General features: G+C 39.3%; 1 protein-coding gene across 27 annotated transcripts in view, besides 1 other annotated feature; it reads left to right on the top strand.

The window, feature by feature from the left end:
• Positions 1-20,368, top strand: part of ITSN2 (intersectin 2) — a 158,505-nt gene that overhangs the window by 41,859 nt on the left and 96,278 nt on the right. For all 27 annotated transcript variants that reach the window (XM_047444586.1, XM_047444582.1, NM_001348182.2 and 24 more), the window contains 10 exons: positions 4,286-4,378; positions 5,987-6,050; positions 7,135-7,298; positions 8,818-9,021; positions 9,130-9,226; positions 10,754-10,893; positions 15,648-15,711; positions 17,408-17,545; positions 18,271-18,356; positions 19,339-19,601. In XM_047444586.1, the coding sequence (XP_047300542.1) occupies positions 4,286-4,378; positions 5,987-6,050; positions 7,135-7,298; positions 8,818-9,021; positions 9,130-9,226; positions 10,754-10,893; positions 15,648-15,711; positions 17,408-17,545; positions 18,271-18,356; positions 19,339-19,601 (1,313 nt within the window). The remainder of the gene's footprint in view (positions 1-4,285; positions 4,379-5,986; positions 6,051-7,134; positions 7,299-8,817; positions 9,022-9,129; positions 9,227-10,753; positions 10,894-15,647; positions 15,712-17,407; positions 17,546-18,270; positions 18,357-19,338; positions 19,602-20,368) is intronic.
• Positions 3,359-3,408: an enhancer, noted in NCBI's record as "active region_15430". NCBI's record gives its function as "activates an Ori minimal core promoter by ATAC-STARR-seq in GM12878 lymphoblastoid cells {active_cell/tissue: GM12878}" and the evidence as "EXISTENCE:reporter gene assay evidence [ECO:0000049][PMID:35858748]".

Here is a 20,368-nt window from a genome sequence, read left to right as displayed (position 1 = left end):
AGATACATTTTCTGGGGTCATTCCTGATGTTCCTGATAGACTCTTGATAAGGCTCCTGATGGGGGATGGCAGACTCATAAGGTGCTTCCAACAATTTAGGAGAGCCATACCAAGGCATTTTTCTTGCAGAAGAAGGCTACAGGGGCAGTTCTACAAGAGAAAATATCATTAATTCCTCTCTTAATACCATACCTCCTGGGGTCTAAGGCGTTTCTTCCTCAGGTGCCTTCTTGTTGCTCTACTGCCATTAAACCTGGGTTTCTCATTTCAGAGCCATAACTTTACCATTTCCTAGTGATCCAGAAGAGTTAGATGTAAGAGGGACATTTTCATAAACCCTAACCAGAATTAACTTTGAATCCTCTAGATCACTGGTCCCCAACCTTTTTGGCACCAGGGACCAGTTTCATGGAAGACAATTTTTCCACAGATTTGTGGTAGGGTGGTGGGAGGGGGTTGGTTTTAGGATGAAACTGCTCCACTGCAGATCATCAGGCATTAGATTCTCATAAGGAGCATGCAACCCAGATCCCTCACACACACAGTTCACAATAGGGTTTGTGCTCCTATGAGAATCTAATGCTGCCACTGATCTGACAGGAGGTGCCGCTCAGGTGGTAGTGCTCACTTGCCCACCGCTCACCTTCTGTGCGGCCAGGTTCCTAACAGGCCACAGACCAGTGCCAGTCCGTGGCCTGGGGGTTGGGAATTCCTGCTCTAGATCCCCTTTTACCTCAGTGGCCCAGCTGGAGGGTTTATGAACCAAGCCTGCCTACAGTTGCTGTTAGGGGCTAGAAAGATGCATCATGTCCAGGAGTGGTCAGAGTAGAATCCTGAATTTTCACAATAGGTCTGTATATCTCCTGTGATACCCCACCCTTTAGCCCTGATCATTAGGGAGGAAGCAGCTAATAAGCAATGAATCCTTTCTGGAGACAGCTACAGTCAGTGACCACACTATCTTACTTTAAAGTATGTGGACCAGGAGGAGGTGATGGAAATAGAGTCAGGCTGTCAGTGCATTGTTGAATGGCTTTTATGATAAAAGTGCATCCATGTCAGAATGCATATGGTCCAGAAAACCAAAAACATGACACAGATTATGGGAGGTCAAGGCAGGAGGATCACTTGAGCCCAGGAGTTCGAGACCAGCCTTGGCAGCATAGTGAGACCCCGTCTCTACAAAAAATACAAAAATTAGCCAGCTGTAGTCGCACGTACCTGTAGTCCCAGCTACTCAGGCGGCTGAGGTGGGAGAATCACTTGAGCCTGGGATGTCAAGGCTGCAGTGAGCCAAGGGTCACTCTGTACTCCAGCCTGGGCAACAGAGTGAGACCCTGTCTCTAAATTTTTTAAAAAAGAAACATGACACAGATTAGTTTCAAGGGCCATGACAGTGTGGGCATCGTGGGCTGATTGGTAACCTAAAAAAGTGTCAACAGGGGAATGTTTTAATGGGAGGGACTATGTGTCAGTGGGGTGGAAGGTATAGGAGAAATGTTTGTACCTTCTGCTCAATCTTGCCGTGAACCTAAAACTGCTCTAAAAAGTCTATGTGAAAAACAAAAAAATACTGTCAATAGTTTGAGGCACCACTGATAGCCTGAGAGAGGGAACAAAGGTCCAATATAGTCAGTCTGCCAGGAGTCAAAGGGAACAATGCCACCTGCAATGAGACCTCCCCCACCATCCCCAAGTCACAGTTTGGCATGCAGTGGTATCCTCTGCACATTAGTCATACTTGATTTCAGTCTAAATCAGAGGCTGGGCCCATACTGTAGGTGTCTACATAGGTGACACAGACAATTCAATTAGCAGTTGAGATTTGTTTTCAATTTGTAGCCCCAGGAGGGTGTCTTTAATCTGTCAATCTGTAATTTTCCAAGTGGCAAACCAAACAGCTGGGTCATTGGCAGCAGCCCAAGAATCCAGGTTCTGCCCATGTCTCCTTTCAGTTCAGCATAGCTGCCTCTGAGGCTGAATAGCCACTGCAGCCCAGTGAACACCAGCAACTTGCAGCTTCTCTGATCTGAGCCTTCATTGATCCAGTAGCTTTACTATAAGCAGTGGAATGTGCATAAAGGTTTCCCTCAGAGGGATAGTTGCCGCTTTTTTTTTTTTTTTGAGATTGCGTCTTGCCCTTGTCGGCGCAGGCTGGAGTGCTATGGCGTGATCTCAGCTCACTGCAACCTCCACCTCCCGGGTTCAAATGATCCTCTTGCCTCAGCCTCCTGAGTAGCTGGGACTACAGGCACCCACCATCACACCCAGCTAATTTGTTTTGTATTTTTAGTAGAGATGAGGTTTCGCCATGTTGACCAGGTTGGTCTTGAACTCCTGACCTCAGGTGATCCGCCCGCCTCGGCCTCCCAAAGTGCTGGGATTACAGGCGTGAGCCACCGCGCCCGGCCACTGCCACTTTTTAACGTAAAGCCAAAATACTGTTGGGGCCAGTGTCTATATCTTCTTTGATATACCATTTCTATTTGACAAACAAGGCTTTTCAGGTTATTCCCACCTTGTGGAATTCAAGTTGACCCTCCCCAAAATGGGACTATCAGGCTAGAGAATCACTAGGCCTTCGTGGGTCAAGCTTTCTGATCCCAAGGATTATCTCTAGGTGAAGGCTACTTCCTTTTGCTAGAGGCTCCGATGGGCAGAATCATCAGTCACAGTGCCTTGTGCTGTCTTCACTACCCAGAGTTTAATTCTGTTGGAGTTTACCAGCCACCACTGCAGGTGGAGGTATTAATTTAGCCAGTAGTTATATACCAGACTGTTAATGTCTTTGTTTTGACAAATGTACTATGGTTGTGTCAGTTGTTAACATAGTAGAAATTGGGTGAAAGGTATATAGGAGCCATGTACTATCTTTGTGAATTTTCTGTAAATCTAAAATTATTCCAAATTAAAAGCTTATTTAAAAACTGTCTGGGCGTGGTGGCTTACGCCTGTAATCCCAGCACTTTGGGAGGCCGAGGTGGGTGGATCATGAGGTCAGGAGATCAAGACCATCCTGGCCAACATGGTGAAACCCTGTCTCTACTAATAATACAAAAATTAGCCGGGTGTGTGGTGGCGCATGCCTGTAGTCCCAGCTACTTGGGAGGCTGAGGCAGGAGAATTGCTTGAACCCAGGAGGCGGAGGCTGCAGTGAGCCGAGATCACTCTGCTGCTCTCCAGCCTGGTGACAGAGCAAGACTTTGTCTCAAAATAAATAAATAAATAAATAATAAAATAATAAAAACTACTAGATGGCTCTCTATAACTTCCAGGGTATGGGGTCAGGCTCTTGAGGATGGTATTTAAGACCTTTTTACAGTTAATTCCACCCTACCTGTTTATTATTACTAACTCTAGTTATTAGTCTGCTCAGTGCACTTAACAGCACCTTGCACATGCCTTGACTTCTCATGCTGTGCCCTTATGGTGTGAAATGTTCTTATCCCTCCTCTTCACGTGGCAAAATTCAAACCAAGCTTCAAGGCTCTGCCTCAGTGTTACCTTTCCTGTTATCTCATCCTTGGTGCTTCTAACTCAGAATTGGCACAGCTGTTTTGGTATCTGTATTAGTCTGTTTTCACACTGCTATAAAGAACTAGCTGAGACTGAGTAATTTATGAAAAAAAGGGTTTAATTGACTCACAGTTCCACATGGCTGGAGAGGCCTCAGGAAACTTAAGGTGTAAGGCGAAGGGGATGCAAAGCACATCTTAACGTGGCAGCAGGAGAGAGAGAAGCAGCAAGGGGGGAAGTGCCACACTTTAAAACCATCAGCTATTGTGAGGAACTCACTCATTATCACAAAAACAACAAGGGAGAAATCAACTCCCATGATCCAGTCATCTCCCACCAGGCCCCTCCTCTGACACGTGGGGATTACAGTTCGAAATGAGGTTCTGGTGGGGACACAGGGCTAAACTATGGCAGTATATAGTTCTGCTTAGGATTTTTCACAGGTGAATACTGTAAGTACTGTTGTTTTCTAGAGCATGAATTCCTTGAGGGTGGGAATATTTTCTTCATCTTTTTATTGCCAGTATTTAGCTTGATGCCCATTTCCAGTGAGTGTGATATAGCACTTGTTCAATAGACGTTAATTGAGCCAATGAGTGAAAAGCCTTAGGGCTGTGCTATGTATGGTTATGATAGAGCTCTACTCTTTGTGTCACTCAAATATTAAATACTGTCATACAATGAACACTTGTGATTTCTATTTACATTTTAGAATTGTATTTTAAGCATTCTCATGTATACACTATAGTTTCTTCCACTTATGTTTCAGGAGGGCCAAACATGTGGGCTATTACCTCTGAAGAACGTACTAAGCATGACAGGCAGTTTGATAACCTCAAACCTTCAGGAGGTTACATAACAGGTTTGTATTTATAATTAGTTTTATTAGTGAATTATGGTCCTTATGTGATATCTAAGAATTAGTTTTAATTTGACTGCCATCAAATTTGTGTTAATAAACGATAAAATTCATATCAATCAGAATTCTAGAAATTAAAGAAATGCTAACTTTATTTTTCCTGGAACTGTCTTAATTTGTTGTTTTAAATTTGGGATATGGAAGATTTTTCCTGAATCCTAAATGATAGTCAAGAATTTCTGTGTAATTGTCTGGTTTCACATTTTAACATTATATCTAGAAAGTTTTCAGTTTATTTCTTAGATTCATTTCATGGAAAATCTAGACTTTTTTTTTCTGGAATCTGTTTTCCTAATGCTAGCCCTCTGTCTTTGAGGCTACACCAAGCACTGATTGTTGATGCTAGCCCTTGTTTTGCAGAAAGACCACCAGAGCCAAAATGGGATTAATTTAGGTGTGCCTTTGAAATTTTTTTCTATTAATTAAACTTTTTTCTGTGCCAAAGTAGCTTAGTGCTTTACATACAATAATAGTAACTATGAGAACAATGATATTTATTGAATTTTTACTATATACCAGATGCTATGCTAAGTGCATTATTTTATTTAACCTTTACAACAACCCTGTAAAGTAGGCACTGTTGTTGTCTATATTTACAAATAGTGAAACTGAGACTAAGAGACGTTATGTAACTGCCTAAGGTTACAAAGATGGTTAGTGTTAATCTGGGCTTTGAAACCATTTGGGCTGATTTTGGAATCCATCTACTTAACCATGTTATTTGTACTGCTATGATAGTAATTACCTTACCTGGTATCAGGATTTGATTACCCTGCTTACAGGTTAATAACTTTGTCCATTACGGGTGGAAGACCCAAGATTCCTGAGTCAGAGACAAAGAACCTTATGACTAACAGCATAACTAGCAAAATGAGCATTGGCATCTATCTTTCTGTTTCCTTTAGTGTTCCCTAAGTCCCACAGAGACAATGCAGAGAGCCCAGGAGAATAGTACACATGCTATGATTGTGTTACAGGAGAGGAACACTGAATTTGGGGAACCCACCCTTTTGTAGCAAGCAGTAAAGCAAGTTTGTCCCTTGTCTCAGTGGGAAACGTTACCGGATTCGTTAAGATTGCTCATTACAAACCCAATTCTGAGAAGTGACCCAGGCAGAGAGCAATTAGGGTCTTACATTATTGGTATACAGAGCAAGACACATAGGAGTGTGAAGAAACTCATGGAGGACTCTCTCTCCTAACACCTGGTACTTTTTATATTGAAACTCTTTTAGGGAATAGTGTTTTTAAATATAAATTTTACTAAGTGGAAGTATTTTTAAGGAAGACCCCAATTGTGGAAAAACTGAGATGAATCATCTTTCATCACTGATTAATATACAATAGAAGTGCAGATGTGACTTTTGTTTTAAAATATCTGTCTTATTAAAGTTATGTAAATAATTTTTATGTGTTTCTATTTCACTTATTCTTTAATGATTGGTATTAAAATTATAATAAATCATTAACATATACCCATTATTATTCAGAAGCATTGGAATAATTTCATTTACTAATGTGCTGCTTGGGTTTTGTTTTTATTACCTCCAGGTGATCAAGCACGTAATTTTTTCCTACAATCAGGTCTGCCGGCCCCTGTTTTAGCTGAAATATGGTAAAGTGTTTTGTAGATGAACCTAATTTTCTGATAGTATTTTGTTTTTTTGTAATATAGTGTTAACATAAAATTGTTTTTAGTTGCATTCTATTGGTTATTAAGAATATTTCTGCCAGCACTTTGGGAGTCTGAGGTAGGAGGATTGCTTGAGGCCAGGCTGGGCAACATAGTGAGAACCCTGTCTCTACAGAAAATTAAAAAAAAAATTAGCTGGGTGTGGTGGCCACACCTCTAGTCCCAGCTACTCAGGGAGGCCAAGATGGAAGGATTGCTTGAGCCCAGGAATTCAGTGCTGCAGTGAACTATGATTGTGTCACTGCACCCTAGCCTGGATGACAGAATGAGACTCTCTTTAGAAAAAAAAAAAAAAAAAAGGTATTTCTTCAGTTTTTTGGAAAATAAATTTTATTGAGCAAATTATTGAAAATAATTCAGGTTTAGTTCTCTAGGACAAATTTCTAATTTCATTAGAATTTTCTAAGGAAAGATATATACATTATCATTGAGAAAAATTTCCTTATAATTTGGCAGAATCTCAAAATCCTCTTTCTGTTATTTTGTAGTTTCATTTATTTCATAATCTATAAACCCCAAATTAGTCCTCGCTTCCCCTGCTCCTTCTTTAAAGAAACTATTCTCTATAATATCTGTTTTTTTAAAAACGTTTACAATAAGTAACAACCCCTGTCCCATCTTTCCACTTGGAATATTCTCATGCCTGGTAGAGTACGAGGCACATAGCAAGTATTCAGTAAATATTTGGACAGATGAATAAATTAAATTTAGAAGTATTATAATCTTGAATTTTTTTCTACCTAAACTGGTGGAATTCAGCCCAAAGGTCTCTAGATTCTGTTTTGACAGGCAGTGTTTTATTAGTTATTATCTCTGGTCAGTATTTCTTAAAGTGTAGGTTTTATCTTTTTGTTATTATATATTTTACATGTTAGATATTTTAAATTTAGTGATGATGTACACGTGAATGCCATATCATCATTTTTACTTTGTCAATCCCCAAAATAACGTTAGTTTTCCCACCACCACACCACATAGCAATCTACCTACCTCATGCTCCTTTTAGGGCTTTATCAGACCTAAACAAGGATGGGAAGATGGATCAGCAAGAGTTCTCCATAGCTATGAAACTCATCAAACTGAAGCTTCAAGGCCAACAGTTGCCTGTGGTTCTCCCTCCTATTATGAAGCAACCCCCTATGTTTTCTCCATTAATTTCTGCTCGTTTTGGTAAGTATGTATTAATTTAAATACCTGTATTTGCTACTTAAACTTTATCCCTAGGCATATTTGAGTATTAGAAAAGGATTTGTTAGCACAAAATGACAGTCCCCAGATTCCAAGTTAATTTTCATGTTAGAGATAATAAATATTAAATTCACTGTCACAGGTAGGGGATCCATGTGTTCTGGTTTTCTAGGGACAGTTCTGATTTATGCCTTTTGTCCTGGCATCTGGTCCAGTTAGTGTCTCCTTTTACAACTCCTAGTTGCGTGATGAATTATATGGTCTCCCTAGGTATAGCCAATCCCAAATACTATTCTTAGTTTCCTCTCTCTCTATATATATGTGAGTAATACAGAAAAAATTTTGAGCAGTTTTAAACTCACTTGAAATGGTTCGATTTGGGAGATAATTTAAAATTTTATGTAAGTTGAATTTTTTTAAAGGTTAATTAGCCAGCTAAATTTAGGGCCAAAAGTTGCAGACTTTGGGCTAATAAGTTCACGTATTCATCAGCGATAACCGGTTGGTATGTTTTCTGTTAATTTTGATCAGGCAATTTCTTATAATTATATGTGAGAAGCACTCATTTTGAATGGAACATTCAATTAGGTATGTCTATGTATCTGAAACATGTTCCTTCACTACAGATCTTAGAATATAGAATTCTAGAGCTGGTTATAGGGGTGTGTGCCTGTAGTTCTGGCTGCTTGGGAGGCTATGGGTAGGATTGCTTGAGTCCAGGAGTTTGAGGTTGTACTGTGCTATGATCGCACCTGTGAATAGCCACTTCATTCTAGTCGGGGCAACATAGTGAGACCCCCATCTCAAACAAACAACAGACTCCACAAAATTATTTCACTATTTTAGTGAATTCTAAAGATAAATACTAAATCATTGTGTGACCATATTTATAAGTATTCTGCAGTTAATAAATGAATAAAAGTCATCACTTTGTTCCTTTTAAGAACTCGTCCTTGAATTCATAGGAATGTTACTTACAAGAAAAGTAAAATATGTGACACACTTTCTTGCAAATAATGCATATGCATAAATGGATCTCATAAAGTATCTACTACTTAGAACCTTTTTGTTTGGGGGGAGTATGTGAGAGAGAGAGAGAAGAAGAATGTGTGTGTGTGTGTGTGTGTGTGTATTAGTCAAGTAACTTAGTAGCACTGTATTATCCTTTCACAAAAACCTCATTTGATCTGGTAATGTATTCTTTCCTTGAGGAGACTCATATTCAATTGGAAAAGGCTGCTTAGTTTTATTCATGATGAGAGAGGAGAATATTTAACTCTTTGCTAGGTGTTTTCTTAGTTCATACAGATCAGAGTATTAGTATTAAGAGCAGCAGTTTACCTCCCTCACTGCTGGGTCAAAGTAGTGAGTTTTTTAAGGATAATTCATCTGTGTGTTTTGGTAAACATAGAGTCTGCCCACTGTACTGTAAACTTGTTTTTTGCATGTGTTTTATAATTGATTTTCTAGCACTGGAAAAAATGTTTTCTTTTGACTTTAGGAATGGGAAGCATGCCCAATCTGTCCATTCCTCAGCCATTGCCTCCAGCTGCACCTATAACATCATTGTCTTCTGCGACTTCAGGGACCAACCTTCCTCCCTTAATGATGCCCACTCCCCTAGTGCCTTCTGTTAGCACATCATCATTACCAAATGGAACCGCCAGTCTCATTCAGCCTTTACCCATTCCTTATTCTTCTTCAAGTGAGTACTTTGTTTCTAAAGAGTCATTATTTCATGTAAAGAAAGAAACTATTTGTGTTTGAACAGATACAAATTTCTTTCATACTTTTCCTTCTTTTTCTTTTTTAGCATTGCCTCATGGGTCATCTTATAGTCTGATGATGGGAGGATTTGGAGGTGCTAGTATACAGAAAGCGCAGTCTCTGATTGATTTAGGATCTAGTAGGTATGAATAGCTAACTCTGACAACTTTTTATGCTTTCAGTAAGAAGTCTTTATTTAACAAATGATTTTTTTAAAGCTTTGAGCTTACCTAAGTTTTACTTTATAATGGCCAAGTACAAATACTTAAGGTAAATTTACTACTTACAACTCACATAAAATAAATTTTTTATTTTTAGAATTATTAAGTGTCTGTGGCATTTTACTTTTGAAAAAATAATTCATGTAAACTAAAAATATTCTATATTTTAATTTTTTCTTTGCCTAAAGCTGTGTACTTTTCCTTTAAAAAATGTGTATATTTCCCAAGATGTCTCATACTCATTGTACATTGTTAATTTCTTTCTTGAGCAGATTCTACTAATTGGATATCTTTTAAATTTTACAAAGCACAAATGCATCAGTATTCATTACATTAATCACCCTTCATATAAATCACTATTATACTCTTCAGGGTAGTGTACGGAGAGTGTTAGATTTGACCCAGAAGAACAACATTCATATCCTAGCTTGAACACTCACTGATTCTGTGGCCTTGTTTTTTCTTAACATCGCTGAGCCATAGTTTACCCATCTAAAAGATGGGGACTGTAGTATTTTTTAAGTTTGTTGGGAGGATTAGAAATATTTGTAAAGGCCTTAGTACAATATAAGGTCTGGCACAGAGCAGGTTCTTTATATGCGGTAGTCTCATGGAGTTCTATACTTCTTATGGTCTTTGCTTTACTAAGAATAGTGATAATTGCTTAAAATTTAAAAAAATGTAAAATGCAAAAGCAGTCACCATTGGCCAGGCACAGTGGCTCACGCCTGTAATCCCAGCACTTTGGGAGGCTGAGGTGGGCGGATTGCCTGAGCTCAGGAGTTCGAGACCAGCCTGGGGCAACATGGTGAAACCCTGTCTCTACTAAAAATGCGCACAAAAAAATTAGCCGGGCGTGGTGGCATGTGACTGTAGTCCCAGCTACTTGAGAGGCTGAGGCAGGAGAATTGCTTGAACCCGGGAGGTGGAGGTTGCAGTGATCCAGGATTGTGCCACTGCACTCCAGGCTGGCAACAGAGCGAGACTCTGTCTCCTCCCCAGAAAAAGAGAAAAGGCAGTCACCATTATAGTATGTAACAGCGATCCTCAACCTTTTTGGTACCAGGGACTGGTTTCATAGAAGACAGTTTTTTCACAGACTTGAAGCAATGGTTTTAGGATGAAACTGTTACATCTCAGATCATCAGGCATTAGATTCTCAAAGGGAGCATCCAACCTAGGTCCCTCACATGTGCCATTCACAATAGGGTTTGCACTCTTATGAGAATCTAATGCCACTGCTCACTGGACAGGAGCTGGAGCTCAGGTAGTAGTGCTCACTCACCTGCCACTCACCGAGCCCCGCTGTCCAGCCCGGTTCCTAACAGGTCGGTGGCCCGGGGGTTCAGGACCCCTGGTATATAAGATTCTTAATGCCTTGGTCTTATAAAATTTAATTAAATATATTTTATTTAGTAACATAAAAATTTTAAATAAATTTTTTTATAGCTCAACTTCCTCGACTGCTTCACTCTCAGGGAACTCACCCAAGACTGGGACCTCAGAGTGGGCAGTTCCTCAGCCTACAAGATTAAAATATCGGCAAAAATTTAATACTCTTGACAAAAGTATGAGTGGATATCTCTCAGGTAAGCAGCATACAGTGCTGAAGAGCATGAAAAAGGGTCTTTTATGTGGACTTCCACTGAAGAACTGTCATTTGAATTTGTATTGTGTAGCTCATCTGACATTTTAACATCCAAAAAATTTAGCAGGCATTTGATAAATACAAATACCTGAAGTTGTATAAGGATTCAAAGATGGATTCAACTTGATTGCTTTCTTCAAAGTTCTTACTGTCAAGTCGGGCACCAGATATACCCCCAACTTTTTGGCAAAAGACCTGTCCCTTAAGATCAGACCTCATCCTCTAAGCTTTGCAGTGAATGGAGAGCCACGGGTCACAAGAGAGAGTGTGTGGAACTTAGCCTCAGCTCACTTTTCCTGAGAATCCTCCTCTGCATTGGGCTTTTTCTCTGTTTATATAACCTCAAGTGAGCATTGCTCACCCTTTAATGCTCTAACCCAAATGTGACTGTAAAACTTGGCCTTAGTTCACTGTAAAACATTTGAGTCCAGGCCAGAACATCATCTGAACTGTACTAATTGAGAACAGCAAAGGAGACATAAACAGAGGGTAATAGGCAAGTAGAGTTCCCACCTTCTAACTTTCCCACTCCCTCTTCACTCAGCAAGAAATTATGATTTAGGACCGAGTAAAATAAGTGTTTAAAAATAATAGAGCTTTAAGTGCTAAGGAACATAGAATGAGATATATTGAAGCTGAAGAGTTCAGATGAGGTATCTTTTAGGAAGGGAGCATTTAAGCTCCATGAAAAAGTTAGGATTTCGACAGAGATTGAACGTGGGGGCATTTGATGGTGACAAAGGAGAAATTAAGAGCAAAAAATACATGGCCTATTTGGAGAATGAAAAGTAGTCTGTGAAATAGGAGTCCAGGGTCTGTAGTTATGCAGAGAGGCAAGGGAACGAGCAGTAAGACTTTTGGAATCGATTGGACAAGCAAAAATATACAGTATTTTATTTAAAGATACATACCTATGTGATAACTATTTTTTAAAGCAAGGGAATTATGCATACAAAATTCAGGATAGTGGTTACCTCTTGTGGAAGCATGGGGATAAGTCAAGGAACACGGATAGATTCAAGGCATTTAGTAGTAATCTAGTTCTTAAGATGGGTGGTAGGTTCACGGGTGACCTATTATACTTCTTAGCTTACATATATACTTTGTATTTTTACATGTATTTCATATTACATAACTAAGATTTTCTGTAATTTTATCAAATTGCATGAAACAAGGTATGCTTTTTTGACACTTTTTTTTTTTTACATTTTAATGTCTCTAAAATTAGGATGTGTGCTACAATTAGTGATGTCTTAGCACTGTGTCATAGTTTTATTAGCAGTGCTTTCTTTCTTATTCATAAAATAATAGTATGTCTTATAGCCAGTGGAATTTTAGATTCTGTGAAATATGGTATTGAACCATACTGGAGATTAATATAAAGTCATAATTCCTATTCTTTGAAAAAATTAACTTCTTTGTACCCTACATTTTGCATTTAAAAAGTTAATTTTGGCCAGGTGCGGTGGCTCACGCCTGTAATCCCAGCACTTTGGGAGGCTGGGGCAGACAGATCATGAGGTCAAGAGATCGAGACCATCCTGGCCAACATGGTGAAACCCCGTCTCTACTAAAAATACAAAAATTAGCTGGGCATGGTGGTGCACACCTGTAGTCCCAGCTACTCTGGAGGCTGAGGCAGGAGAATTGCTTGAACCTAGGAGGCGGAGGTTGCAGTGAGCCGAGATTGCGCCAGTGCACTCCAGCCTGGCAACAGAACGAGACTCTGTCTCAAAAAAAAAAAAAAAGTTTATCTTTGCTAGGCATAGCGGCATGTGCCTATAGTCCCAACTACTTGGGAGGATGTGGCAAGAGGATTGCTTGAGCCCAAGAGTCCAGCCTGGGCAACATAGTGAGACCCCATCTCTCTAATAAAAAGAAGTTATTTGTTTTCAACTGAACAAAAGTTGATGAAAAAGACATTTACAAAAATGTTCACAACCTAAATGTTCATCGACAGGAGAATAGATAAATGACAGTATATTTACATAACAGAATACTTTAAAGCGATAAAACCAAATGAACTGCTGATACCTGCAACAACATGAATGACTTTCACAGGTATGGTATTGAATGAAAGCAGCCCAAAAGGACCATACCATTTAACCCATTTATATGAGGCTGAAGAACAGGAAACCTAATTAATGGTGATAGAAATCAGAATAATGTGGTTACTGTGTGGGGAAGGGGCCATGTGCAAACCTTCTGAGTTGCTGGAAACATTCTGCATCTTGATACAGGTGTGTATGTGCATACCTGTGTAAAAATTCATTAGGCAGGCCGGGTGCAGTGGCTCACACCTGTAATTCCAACATTTTGGGAGGCTGAGGCGGGCGGATCACTTGAGGTCAGGAGTTTGAGACCAGCCTGGTCAACATGGTGAAACCCCATCGCTACTAAAAATATAAAAATTAACCAGGCGTGGTGGTGGACGCCTGTAATCCTAGCTACTCTGGAGTCTGAGGCAACAGAATTATTTGTGCCTGGGAGGCAGAGGTTGCAGTGAGCTGAGATCATGCCACTGCACTCCAGCCTGGGTGACAGAACTAGACTACGTCTCAAAAAAGAAAAAATTATTAGGCAGCACACTTAAGAGTAGTACGCTTTGTATAAGTACTGTAACTATAACAGTATAAACAGAGGTGATTTTGCATTGGAATATGAAGGGCAGTGAATGGGGAGCCAACTGTGGGGAAGTGATCCCTAATGTTACTTCATTAGTATATGTCACATTGTACGAAGGTTGTGTATTATGGTGTTTTTTAGGGAATGTCATTATTATTCTGAGACCTACAAGGGTAAAGCTATATATCTGTAGGTAAAGACAAGGTTTTCTATAAAAAGAGTAGTTGCTGCTGGTGTCCTTAAGCTGAGCATGAGCCCCAAGAACATGAGGATGAGGCTAACCTGGACTTATATGTTTGTTTTGTTCAATAAGTGTAGGAGTTGGTGATCCTTTTTTTTTTTTTTTTTTTTTTTTTGAGACAGAGTCTTGCTCTGTTGCCCAGGCTGGAGTGCAGTGGTGCGATCTTGGCCCACTGCAGCCTCTGCCTCCCCGGGTTCCAGCGATTCTCCTGCCTCCTACAGGCACACGCCACCACGCCCAGCTAATTTTTCTTAGTAGAGACAGGTTTTGCCATGTTGGCCAGGCTGGTCTCGAACTCCCAACCTCAGGTGATCCGCCCGCCTTGGTCTCCCAAAGTTCTGGGATTACAGACGTGAGCTACCGCGCCTGTCCACTGGTCTGTTTTTCCCTTTTTTACTTCTCTTCTCCTCCCCCTAAACATAGTTTTTAAAAATTTATTTAGATCAAGTCATTGATGTAACTGTTTCCTGAATCACATACTTTCTGGGCACTCTCTTAGGCACAGGAATACAGACAGGGGCAAGACATGGTTCATATCTTTGAAGAGCCCATATAATGAAGAGCTCATGTAATCAAGGTGTTTGGTTACTTGTTTAAAAGTGCTGTGATTAATATAGATGAGAAAGTGACTAACTCCAAGGATATAAGAGAGAATGTTTCACAGAAGAAAAGAGATTAGAGCCAGATTTCAGAGGATAGACTACAAAGTAAAGAATTGAGGGTCTGGCATTCTAAGCAGAGGATATAGGATATCCAGAGGCTTGGCCGACTAAGAGTGTACATACATGTTCAAATGAGTTTTACTTAGTAAGTAAGATACTCTGTTGGCTCTCTATGGCCCTTTGTATTACTCAGACTTTGCCTCACACATATAAAGCCCTCCACGAGTATGATTTTTAACCATTTACATTCCTCCTCCTTCTCTCTTCTGTTTGCTCTATTGCCTGATGCTAAGGGATCTTCTTTCAGTCCAAAAGGATCTTTTTTCGGTCCAAAAGCTGAAATAGTAGTTTTGAACTTTTTTTCAGGTTTGAAATAGCCTTCCATCTCTCTTATTTAGAAGAATCTTCCTTTTAACACAAAGACCTCCTCAAATCAAATTTCCTAAGTGAAATCTGAGGAGTAATTAATAGGGCGAGGCTGTGAGTTTAATTTCCAGTGTTTTTATGTGATTTATGTTAAATGTCCAGATTAAAAAAATAGAATGAAAATATTTTAAAAGTTATAAAATATAAACATTTAGCTGCATGTTGTAATACATGGTTGCTTTGATTATCAAGTCCTATGTTGAAAGCCTAGTGGGACAATAAATCTAGCTGCATTTGGCTGGCTTTTGTTGTAGTTGGAGCTGTTGCTGAGGCAGTGTTGGCAGATGTAATCTCTTGTGTAAGAGTTGTTTTGGACAGGCCTTGACTCAGGCTGAACCCAGAGTAGCGCCTGACTCTTCTGCTACTCACGGCTCAGTCACGTAGGAGTGGGAAGTGCTGCACCTGCTGGGAGTACAAGAGGGCCCACAGTCTTGGCCTCTGATACTCTGTGTGCCTGATATCTTGTTCTTTCACGTTAGCCACTTGTGTGTATTATTATCTTGCTGAAAAGACAGGGGACAGCACTTGATACTGCTAATTCTAGATTTAAAATTCCTTGGGGCAGTGACTGGGTTTAATTGCTACTGAATGCTTAGCACCTAGCACGTGGTAAAAACATTTTGATGTTAAAAGTTCCCAGGATACCCTGGTAGCATTGTTATTTTACAGATACAGCTAATTTGTTATGCATAACTTTAAAGATGCTAAAGAATTCCTTTATGATTTTCCCCACTTAATCAGGTTTTCAAGCTAGAAATGCCCTTCTTCAGTCAAATCTTTCTCAAACTCAGCTGGCTACTATTTGGTAAGTTTGTCCCTTAATTACATTTGATTAATTTAACTATGCATTAATTAATTAAACTCTCTCTCCCCTATTACAAGAAAGATACTGTTTCTGTAAAAGTTTGTGACTCAGAGATGCTCTATAAAAGCAGCCATTTGAAAGTTAGTATTAAGCTTGGAGGCAAATGTAATTGTGCAGAATGTTGTTGTACCCTTAAGCTACACCAAATTTACAAAAAATATTTTCTTCAACAATAGATTAATCTTGGCATACAATAACTTTTTAACTTTGTAAACCTTTTAATTTTTTAAAACTTTTTGACTCTTGTAATAACACTTAGCTTAAAACACAAACACATTGTACAGAAAGATATTTATATCCTATTCTTTAAGCTCTTTCTTGTTTTTAAAATTTATTTTTACTATTTAAACTTTCGGTAAAAACTGAGACACAAAGACACCCATTAGCTTAGGCCTGTAGAGGGTCAAGATCATCAGTATCACTATCTTCTACCTCCACATCTTGTCTCACTGGAAGGTGTTCGGGGCAATAACACGCATGGAGCCATTGTCTCCTATGATAACAATGCCTTCTGGAATTTCTCCTGACTGACCTGCCTGAGGCTGTCTTACAGTTAACTTTTTTTTTTCTGTAAGTAGAAGGAGTATACTCTAAAATAACAATAAAAATAAAGTATAGTAAATACATAATCCAGTAATATATTAACAGATGTTTATTGTTATTGAGTGTATGTACTGTAGATAATTGTATATGCTGTACTTTTCTACAGCTGGCAGTGCAGTATGTTTGTTCAGACTAGCATCACCACAGACACATAGGTAATGCGTTGCTTTATGACAGCTACAGTGTCCTTAGGTGGTAGGAATTTTTCAGCTCCATTATAATCTTATGGGACCACCATTATAAATGCAGTCCATTGTTGACTGATATGTCATTATGCAGTTCATGACTATATTTTACTAGAAAAACTGTTGTTTTCTTTCATCTAATCCCTTCTATGGAGAATCAGAGAATATCTTGTTTTTAATATAGGTAAATGTGATTTGGTAGGTGAATTAACCATGGAGTAAGACAAGCCACTTTCTCAGAAGGGGTAGTTACTTCTCTTTCTGTTTCAAAGTTTCTTCCCTCTCTTTTATGTCTTGAAAATCAACGGTAAAAAATTAATTCACTATTGAAGTACATACTTACATACTTACATTCAATAGTGAGTTACGTAAATGTACGTATTTACATTTCACTAAAATAAGTGTACCCAGCAGTTTTACCATCATTATCCTTCTTTTAAAAATAAAAAATTGGCCGGGCCCAGGTGGCTCACGCCTGTAATCTCAGCACTTTGGGAGGCTGAGGCGGGCGGATCACGAGGTCAGGAGATCGAGACCATCCTGGCTAACACGGTGAAACCCCGTCTCTACTAAAAATACAAAAAATTAGCCAGGCGTGGTGGCGGGCGCCTGTAGTCCCAGCTACTCGGGAGACTGAGGCAGGAGAATGGCGTGAACCCGGGAGGCGGAGCTTGCAGTGAGCTGAGATCGCGCCACTGCACTCCAGGTTGAGCGACAGAGCTAGACTCCATCTCAAATAAATAAATAAATAAATAAATAAATAAAAGTAAAATAAAAATTGAACTTTTAAGGCAATATTTTACTCCAAATAGACTTTATTAAGTTGTGAATTTTAACATTTTCTTTAGGACTCTGGCTGACGTTGATGGTGATGGACAGCTAAAAGCAGAAGAGTTTATTCTTGCAATGCACCTTACTGACATGGCCAAAGCTGGACAGCCATTACCACTGACTTTACCTCCTGAGCTTGTTCCTCCATCTTTCAGGTGAGTGTGCCTGGAGGTGGAGAACTATGGTTTTGATAACTTGGCAGATGTGATTTAGAAGAGAGTTAAATATTTGCACTGCCATTGATTTTAGTATTCAACAAGTTATACTTGAAAAGGGTACATATTAGAAGTAGGTGTGGGCCAGGCGTGGCAGCTTACGCCTGTAATCATAACACTGGGAGCCAAGGTGGGAGGATCACATGAGGCCGGGAGTTCAGGACCAGCGTGGACAACATAGTGAGACCCCGTATCTACAAAAATAAAAATAATTAGCCAGGTGTGGTGGTGTGCGCCTGTAGTCCTAGGTACTCTGGAAGCTGGGGCAGGAGGATCACTGGAGCATAGAAGTTCAAGGCTACAGTAAGTTGTGATTATGCCACAGCACTCTAGCCTGGGCAGCAGAGCAAGACCCTGCCTCAAAAAAAAAAAAAAAAAGAAGTGGATGTGTTTTCATTATGTTATACATAAGGAGGCTAATGACTAAAGAGATAAAGAAAAACTTGCCCAAGAACCAAAATTAGCTGAACTGTGATTTGAATCCAGATTTCTCTGTCTTGAATATCCATATACTACTGTATTTTGTAACGACATACCAAACTGTTTTAAATATCTTTAATACTGTATTCCCAATATCAAATTGCCATAATCACTGGTAGTCTGTGTAATCTAGTCTGAAAATGTCCAGACTACATGATGCTAACTTTGTTGTTTGATTTTTTTAGAGGAGGAAAGCAAATTGATTCCATTAATGGAACTCTGCCTTCATATCAGAAAATGCAAGAAGAGGAGCCTCAGAAGAAATTACCAGGTATCACTGAGTGTCAAAGTTGTATATTTATACTGAGTTCTTTTAAATTCTACCTTTAAATGTAATGGAATATTTAGAATTTTTATATTTTTAATATTTGATGTGCTATATGAGAAAAAACTATTTGATAGATGGGATGTATTTTGGTATTGATAAAATTAAGATGGTCAAAATGAGAAGAGTGTGAAGGAAGAAGAGACAGTTAGATGTATTTGACAGGATTATAGACATCTGAGTTAAAGTATTTCTCCTAATTTAGGCTGAGTTATTAGAGGAAACTTTGTAATGAAATCTTTACCTTTAAAAACATTTAAATATTGGTTGAAAGAATACATTTGTAGCTGTTTTAATATATTAGGATGTTAATGACATCAAAACAAATGTATAACCACACAGCTTTGATTGTCCTTGAAGAAGAGAAAAAAGTTGAAAAAGTTTTTTTTTTTTTTCCTTGTTGCCCAGGCTGGAGTGCAACAGCACAATCCCGGCTCACTGCAACTTCCGCCTCCTGGGTTCAAGCGATTCTCCTGTCTCAGCCTCCTGAGTAGCTGGGATTACAGGTGCCTGCCACTATGCCTGGCTAATTTTTGGTATTTTTAGTAGAGATGGGGTTTCACCGTGTTGGCCAGGCCGGTCTTGAACTGCTGACCTCAGGTGATCCGCCCACCTTGGCCTCCCAAAGTGTTGGGATTACAGGCATGAGCCACCACACCCAACCGAAAAAGTATTTTTATTGGCAAGTTTATAAAAATTATTTCTCTCTTGATTGGATTCAAACTTAAAAATTTGTTTTTCTAAAATTGAATATCCTTGAAGAAAGTAGATATTTTTCCACTTAGATTTGAGTTAAAATTATCCTTAGGAGAAGTATTCAAATACTGATAGCACTCAAATGATCACAAGGCATAAGTATATAGAAACTAGATTACAGGTTCTGTAGGCTGTTAATGTGTGTGGATGCTGATAGGCATACCTTGTTCAGTTACTTTTGAGGACAAACGGAAAGCCAACTATGAGCGAGGGAACATGGAGCTGGAAAAGCGACGCCAAGCCTTGATGGAGCAGCAACAAAGGGAGGCAGAACGTAAAGCCCAGAAAGAAAAGGAAGAGTGGGAACGAAAACAGAGAGAATTACAAGAACAAGAATGGAAGAAACAACTTGAATTAGAAAAACGCTTAGAGAAGCAACGGGAATTGGAGAGACAACGAGAGGAAGAAAGGAGAAAAGACATAGAAAGACGAGAGGTTATTTTTAAGTTTTTTACTTCTTAAGAAAATCATTACATTTAATAAGTGACTATATTTCATTTGATTAAAAAATGCTTATTTTTGAATTTTTGTTTTGCCTTTTGCTCTGCATCATTTCATTCTTACCCTATACAAATCTGATCATTCCTTCCCTTGAGGAGGGAAAGAGGCTTCTTGCTTATAAGGAGTTTTCAGAACTGGTACGTGGTAGAGAAAGCATCCTCTGCAGGTGATATCTCAATCAAAGGAGGATCGACTGCAGAGCTAAGTTGAGTGAGGAGCTAAGGTTAGTTAGGCAACTGAGCAAGTCATTAGACGAAAGCAAGTTTAAGATCCAGATTAAGAGTCCAAGGAATTGGAGAGACAGAAAGATGAGAGCTGGGCATTGAAAGTCTCTCTAGAGAGGAATCAAGAGGATGGGCTTGCACAGGCCTTTGGGATAGTGTTGCTGGGAAAGAAGGGTCCTTAGGAGGACTGGCTGTGTTTTAAAGGGCCAGGGATGGAGCACAGGAAGTTATTGCACACTGAAATAATATAAATAGAATTTTTCCCCCAGATACCAGAATAGAGGGAAAATTATTCCTGTTAACATTTATATTTATGAAGTCATTCTGTAACTTATTAAGAGAAAAATGACTGTAACAAAAGGATGGTCTTCCAACCTGGGCAACATGGTGAAACCCTCTCTCTACAAAAAGTACAAAAATTAGCCAGGTGTGTGGTGGTGTGTGCCTGTAATCCCAGCTACTTGGTGGGGCTGAGGC

The sequence above is a fragment of the Homo sapiens genome, chromosome 2 (genome assembly GCF_000001405.40).
Source record: "Homo sapiens chromosome 2, GRCh38.p14 Primary Assembly".
NCBI lineage: Eukaryota > Metazoa > Chordata > Mammalia > Primates > Hominidae > Homo > Homo sapiens.
The sequence above is the reverse complement of the archived record's forward strand: the minus strand, read 5'-3'. Positions and strand labels throughout refer to the sequence as shown.